Source organism: Homo sapiens, chromosome 18, assembly GCF_000001405.40.
Source record: "Homo sapiens chromosome 18, GRCh38.p14 Primary Assembly".
NCBI classification, from domain to species: domain Eukaryota; kingdom Metazoa; phylum Chordata; class Mammalia; order Primates; family Hominidae; genus Homo; species Homo sapiens.
The window spans coordinates 70,837,940-70,845,457 of record NC_000018.10 but is presented as its reverse complement, the minus strand read 5'-3'; the positions used below and the strand labels follow the sequence as shown (position 1 = coordinate 70,845,457).

The window sequence follows — 7,518 nt, the reverse complement described above, 5'->3', positions numbered from 1 at the left end:
AGATTGGTTTGGTTTTTGTTTTTTGTTTGTTTGTTTTGTTGCTTTTTTTTGAGATGGAGTCTTGCTCTGTCACCCAGGCTGGAGTGCAGTGGCATGATCTCGGCTCACTGCAACCTCCACCTCCCAGGTTCAAGTGATTCTCCTGCCTCAGCCTCCCGAGTAGCTAGGACTACAGGCGCCCACAACCACGCCCAGCTAATTTTTGTATCTTTAGTAGAGACAAGGTTTCACCATGTTGGCCAAGATGGTCTCAATCTCCTGACCTTGTGATCCACCCGTCTCAGCCTCACGAAGTGCTGGGATTACAGGCGTGAACCACCACACCCGGCCGTTATTTATAGATTGTTTTTAATGCGATTACATTACTTCTTCTATGTTTCTTTTCATTTTCTATTAATCTTTACCTGTTAAATGGTTAGCCTTGATTTTCCAGCCTTTCTTCTTTTACAGAAACATTCAAACGTATAAAATGTCCCTTTAAGTAACACTTTTCTTCATGTCACACTTTTCATTTGTCCTAATTCCTTCAGAAATGTTTCTTTACTAATACTCTGTCTTTTGGTCTAATCTATCCTTCACTTCCTCCTATATATATTTTTCTAATTTCTTAAGGTTGTTTTCAGTTATTTTCCAATTCTTCTTAATTGTTGGTAATCTTTTGTTTCTTGCTTGTTGTTTTATGCTATCTTTTATTACTTTAAATATTTCATATGTGGATGATTTATTTACTAACTTTTAATATCTACAGTCCTTGGGAATCTAAATCTGTTTATTTTTCCTAATGACTCTCACTTATTGTAACTGGATTTCTTATGTTTTTGGTGATATTTGACTGTTAACTCATATTTAATTAAACTAATTCTTAGAAATCCATGGAACAAAGTTGGAGTTTACCTCCTGGAAAAAAAAAAAATGTACTTGCTTCTGTGTGGTGCCAGATTGTTGATTGACCTGACACTGCATTGGCCAGTTATTTTGGGTACATATTGGTGTCCTAGAGAAACCAACTGTATTCATCTGCTCAGCCTTCCTTAAACAATTAGACTGGGTAGCTTAAATTGCAAAAATTTACTTTCTCACAGTTCTGGAGGCTGTGGAGTGTGAGGTGAAGGTCTGGTAGGGCCGGTTTTTGGTGAAGGCTGTCTTCTTAGTTTGTAACATACGGCCACCTTCTTTCTGTGTCTTTACAAGGTAGAGTGAAGTGTGGGAAGAGAGAGAGAAATAGAGATGCAAAGAGAGAGAGGAACAGAGATGCAAAGAGAGAGAGAGAGCGGTGTCCCCTCGTACCCTCCCACCCTCTTGGCTCTTCTCAGAAGAGATTTTATCCTATTGGGTTAGGGTCCCACCCTTATGACCTCATTTAACCTTAATTACTTCCTAAAGGTCCTGTCTCCAAATACAGTCACACTCAGAGTTAGTGCTTCAATGTATGAATTTGGGGAGTGGGTGGGACACACAATTCAATCCATAGCACCAACAGAACTTTGCTGTGGGCTGAAGCTTCATGTTTTAATCTCGGTGCTGAAACTCATCTATGTCTCAAAGACAATCTTGAGTTTAGCATTTACTAACTACTTTCCATTCTCTTAGTTTACTTTTTTGTTGTTTGCTTCTTTTCTCCCTTGGGACATTTACGTCACTTCTTTATGAGCCTAGATATGCCATAAAGAATATGTTTTTGCAGTGTATTCAAGAACTAATTATCTTGTGACGGAAGTGTGTTTGAGAATATTTTGTTGATAGCACCGCTGGCAGTAGAAGAGTTATAGCCAGTTGAAAGCTTAGAGGATGCATATGCAGTCTAACTTGAACTGTTATTGGCTGATGTGGAAAAGGTGTTATTCATAGTCCTGCCCATTTCCTTCATTTATTCTATAAGTGTTGTAGTAATCCTTAATTTTGTAGTCACTAATCATTCAGAGAATATGATAAACGTTATCAAACTCATCTCCATAAAAACATGCATATGCATATGTGATTAATATTTTGCATGTAATTTCACAAAGTTTGCAGGCCACTTGAAGCCCATCTGTGTACTCTTTAAGGTTCCAGGTTAAAAGACACTGGATGGGACAACTAATAAAGTTTATAAAATTTTCTTGAGTGATGAACTTAAAGAAGATGTAGGGTCAGTATGTAGAAGGGAATAATAAACTTGTTACCCTCAGATTCTATCAATGGTTTCTTGAAAGGCAAAGTAGAGTTCAGCAACAATTTGGATTCTCTACATATGAAATCACATAGGTTGGATTGGCTTTACTCTATATGATAATGATTTCAGGAAAGAACAATTTTATCTCCCCTGTGTTAGGCAAGTAAGAATCAAAGTCATTCATGTGCCAAGCCAGATTTTAATACCGAGACTCAAAGCTGTAGTGTTGGCATTTAAGGGACCGATCTGAGGAGTAAATCAGGAGAAAAAAAAATCTAAGAAGAGTTTGCTGGATATCCTAATGGATACCCTTCCATTTAGCCAAAACCATGGTGCTATCATCAGAAGGAAGGTAAGTATTTCTTTGTCAAGGGCTTTGATAATGGAGGCAGCAGGAAACAGATCGATGCATAACAGAACAGGTTGCAGAAATCACTAAGACAGCACTCATTATGTGTGGCCAGGAGGCTCTAGTATCAAAGTCAGGGAAGGAAAAGTAGAGTGGATGCCAGAGTGCTGTGAGAGCATCCAAAGGGTCCCTTAGGAAAACAGCACCTTAATTAGCTCAGTCATGGGAACAATTGCCATAAATGAGTATCAGTTCCTACTTACAGGTTTTTGAATCAGGGGTGTGTTGTAAGGAACCTGTAATTATGAGGCTATAGCTTGTGAGTGACTTATGCTTATGTAAATTATAGTACATTCAAGACTGTCTCTTGAATTTACTTGTATTCCAATATGCCTTTTTAAATAGGAAAGTATTTCAAAACACAACCTAAAAGACGGCTACGAAGTCTCACTGTTAGGTGCATGGGCCTCTGGAGTTGGGATGCCAACATTCAACTCCTGGCTCCCCTACTTCATAGCTGCTTGGCTTGGGGAGATTACTAACAAAACTGAAGCAATAGCTATGAGTAGCAGATGCAATTTTTGTAATACAAGCAACTTTATTTTATTCTAATAATCAATCAATGACCAAATAACATTACAAGGTCAATGATACTAATTATATGAAAAATACAATTATAAATCTAAGCATGATGAATTTTGAGGAATTTTCACATAACACCCAGAATTCAGTCATCTTGCAGTGAAAGTTCAAGCAAATAGACTCCATCATATTCTCTTAATATTATAGGTGACAAAAAGACCCTGGCAGGGTTAGGCACTGTCAATGTTTATATACCTACTCTAGATGCCTAGATGCTAATTTTACTGAAACCACCTTTGCAAAAATTATAACGAGAAAATTATGACAGTGAAAAAGATCTGACCTAACAGACTCCATCTTGCCTTAACCTGCAAACTGCCCTTGTTCATTCCTAGGCATAAGCTGAACTAACTATAGGAGGAATTTAGTTTACAGTTTAGTTTTGAAACAAAGATGGTAGCTCTTACCAGACACAAAGGGACGAGACAGCCCTTGTAAAAGTAACAAATTAGCCTTGGACAAGACTGTCTTTGTAAAACTAACAAATTACCCACAAGATTAGAAATTATGGTTTAAGAGTCATGCAGCCAGAGGCCACAAGATCCCTAACCTCCTCATTTGCTCCTATGGATAACATCACTATTATAAAACCTAATATTGGTGCTTGAGATATTTTTCAGACCTTCCATTCTGATGCACCAGCTGGTGCTAACCAGGCTGGTAATCTGAATCTACTAGTTCTGGGATCTCACCCAGGAACATATGACAGCAAGAAGAACTCACTTTGACTCCCTATGATTTTATCTCCAACCCAACCAATCAGCACTCTTCACTCCCTAGCCCCCTACCTGCCAAATGATTCCTTAAAAATCCCAGTCCCCAAATTTTCAGGAGCCTGTTTTGAGTAATAATAAAACTCTAGTCTCCCATTTATCCAGCTCTGTGTACATTAAACTCTTTCTCCATTGCAATCGTCTGTCTTGATAAATTGACTCTATGTGAGCAGCAGGCAAGAAGAATTCATTGGATCATTATAGTAGTACTGTGCTGTACATACATAGTTTTATAAAAATACTTTTTGTGTTGTCTTTAATCAATAGCAAATCATCTCAAATCATAGAGCAACCATAAGAGTTACAGAGGAGTGACACTTTGTAGAAAACAAAATCTCTTCATTAATACTTTAAGACAATTGAAATATTCCTTTATTAAATGGAACTAAGAAGGGATAGCCACATAAGGATTTCAGGAGCATGGAGTGGGATGTTATAGAAAGATAATATTGAGGAAATCTATCCTTACATTTGAGTGATCCAAGTTATTTTTGAAGAAAGTTTGGCGACTCATCTGCCTTATGAAAATAGGAGAGCAAGAAACATTCTCTGCACAGTGTGAAGTTCCTCTGTCTTTCATATTTCTAATTCCGGGCAGCATGCTGTCTGCTCCAAAGAACAGGAAAACAAATGCCAAGCTTTAATCAGAGTGGTATGGGCTGTGTGGGGAGTTTCAGATCATTTGCCCATTGCTAACAATGTCATGCAGATTCCCTTCAGAATCTCAATGCCTAGACCTTTGCCCTTGCTGCAAACGGAAGGTTGCAAAACACTGAAGAGCAGCAATCCTGGATTAGCTTAACATTCTTTCTCTATGTTCAGGAAAAAAAAAAGAGAAGGTAACAATTTCAATCTAATTTAATTCTATAGTGAAACAAGGAATAAGAATCTCTGTAGTGTTAAGCTAACCTTTTTCAAGGGTCGGGCTTTTTTTTTTTTTTCCTTCTTCTTTTTCTTTAACTGTATCTTAGTAACACTGATAGCCCAAGAGTATCCAAGGAATTGGAAAAAAAAAAAAAAAGTCTATTAGTAAGAGAAATAGTTTAAATTCTCTTGAACCTTAAAAAGCTGCCTTTTAACAAGGATCATTATTTTTGAAATGCTAAAGCACTAGTTATGTTTAACAACAAAATATTTGATTATTTTACTCTGTCTATTCTTTGGGAAACTGGGGAGAGATGTTTTTGTCAGAGGCCTGTGAACCAGAGCAACTCCATCTTGAATAGGAGCTGAGTAAAATAAGGCTAAAACCTACTGGGCTGCATTTCCAGATGGTTAAGGTATCCTAAGTCACAGGATTAGGTAGAAAGTCGGCACAAGATACAGGTCATAAAGACCTTGCTGATTAAACAGGTTGCAGTAAAGAAGCTGGACAAAACCCACCAAAACCAAGATGGCCACAAGAGTAACGTCTTGTCGTCCTCACTGCTACACTCCCATCAGCGCCATGAGAGTTTACAAATGCCACAGCAATGTCAGGAAGTTACCCTATATGGTCTTAAAAGGGGAGGCATGAATAGTCCATCCCTTGTTTAGCATATCATCAAGAAATAACCACAAAAATGGGCAACCAACAGCCCTCAGGGCTGCTCTGTCTATGGAGTGGCCATTGCTTTATTTGTTTACTTTTTTAATAAACTTGCTTTCACTTTACTCTGTGGACTTGGCCTGAATTCTTTCTTGCGTGAGATTCAAGAACCCTCTCTGGAGGTCTGGATCAGGACCCCTCTCCTGCAACATTTTTATAAGACTTGAAACCTCTGTTTCTCCACAGCACATAACTTTGAATTCTAATATGATTTTTTTGGATGTATTATGTCCCCTATGATGTTATATTTCTTGTCTCCCAATACTATTATTGGAGTTCTATTTCCATTGAAATAAAATTTAATTTTTTTTCTATTATCAAAGAAAAATTGCACCAGGCAAGTTAAACAGGCAGGGGAAACTTTATTCAAGGTTATTTTGATAGGGGAGAGAAACTGAGTTCAACTCCACTGAAAGAAACTGCTGGGAGGATTTCAAGTGCTGGCGTGAATTTCTGGGAAAGTCCTGGAGGACATTAGGGTGCAGGCTGGTCACTGTGGTCAAGCCATCTCTGTTTACTATTTGGTGCTTATTAGAGCTAGGCCCCTACCTTCCCACAGAGACTGGGAGATGGAAGCCATGTTTTCCTTGATGATTCCATTTCAGGGAAGGCTCCCAGGCCCTTCAGAAACACATTCTGGTGTCATAAAATGACTAACAAGCTTCTAAAAAGTATTACATCTCAAAGGGATTTCCTTAAAGCAAGGAATTTAGAGTTTCAAGTTTTCTAAAATAAATGTCCCAAGAAGAGGAAGATCAGGTGCCTGTAGTCAGAAAGAAACCTATTTAAAGTTTAGTCAAGGTAATGGAAATGTTAAGGCCTTTTAAAATTTTAATTTAATTTAATTTAATTATTTTTGAGACAGAGCCTCTCTTTGTGGCCCAGGCTGGAGTACAGTGGCATGATTTCAGCTCACTGCAACCTCTGCCTCCCAGGTTCAAGCAATTCTCCTGTCTCAGCCTCCCAAGTAACTGGAACTACAGGCATGAACCACCCCGCCTGAATAGTTTTGTACTTTTGGTGGAGATGAGGTTTTGTTATGTTGGCCAGGCTGGTCTCAAACTCCTGGCCTCAAGTCACCTGCCCACCTTGGCTTCCCACAATGCTGGGATTATAGGCGTGAGTCACTGCACCAGGCCAGGCCTTCTTAATCACTATAGTCACTATAAGATAAAAGAAATTCTGCTTCGGGTTAATATATCCACTTCTGTGTGCTAAAACTTTAATTAAGATGAAGTAATTTAGGAGATGTTATAGGTTTGAGAGAGAACAAAATAAGCTTCCAAATATTTCAGTCCTTTATGATAAATTCAAATGGAGTATGCTTAAAATATGTATATAATCAAATTAGATAATATATAAAACATGATATATTTTATTACTTTAACAACCTATTACAGATTGTGTTTGAAGTTTGATTTTTTAATGTAGAATATCATAAATACTTCATTTATTTAATTTAGGATTTACCTTTACAATAAAATAGCATACTCACTTTACAAATTATGTAATTCAATATAAATCATGCTCTATTCAGGACCATTTGTGGTTTGTTTGTTTCTAGTTAGCTACATCTGGTGTGCAGCAAAGATGATATTTCTAAACAGTATACCATGAGTGTCTTATGTAATGAAAACACTATACATAAGTTTACTGCGGCTTTTAAAACTTATATGAGATATCTTCTGCTAGTCAAACAACAAGAAGCATAGTTTAGAGACTTTGTTAAGATGACATGATCTTCTGGTGATTGAATAAAGATTTAAGAAGCTTCAGGAGTTTAAAATTTCTTACCAGATCTATTTGATCACCACATTTTTAGGCCATTTTAATGCTTACATTGTATGCTTATTGTTAGATCTATAGTAATTATTGCATTTGTATTTGGGTTAATTTTTATTATTATCCTGTTCCATAAAGAATTAGAGTAATTTATGAGAAACATAGCAAACTGCGGTTTCCTTTCCAGTTTTTCCCATTAAGAAGAAGAAAAGAATATGGAACTAGAACATGT

At 37.3% G+C, this 7,518-nt stretch overlaps 2 annotated features.

The window, feature by feature from the left end:
* Positions 998-1,505: an enhancer, noted in NCBI's record as "H3K27ac-H3K4me1 hESC enhancer chr18:68511189-68511696 (GRCh37/hg19 assembly coordinates)". NCBI's record gives its function as "activates a minimal SCP1, AML or CMV promoter by ChIP-STARR-seq in primed H9 embryonic stem cells {active_cell/tissue: H9 hESC(primed)}" and the evidence as "EXISTENCE:reporter gene assay evidence [ECO:0000049][PMID:30033119]".
* Positions 1,506-2,013: an enhancer, noted in NCBI's record as "H3K27ac-H3K4me1 hESC enhancer chr18:68510681-68511188 (GRCh37/hg19 assembly coordinates)". NCBI's record gives its function as "activates a minimal SCP1, AML or CMV promoter by ChIP-STARR-seq in primed H9 embryonic stem cells {active_cell/tissue: H9 hESC(primed)}" and the evidence as "EXISTENCE:reporter gene assay evidence [ECO:0000049][PMID:30033119]".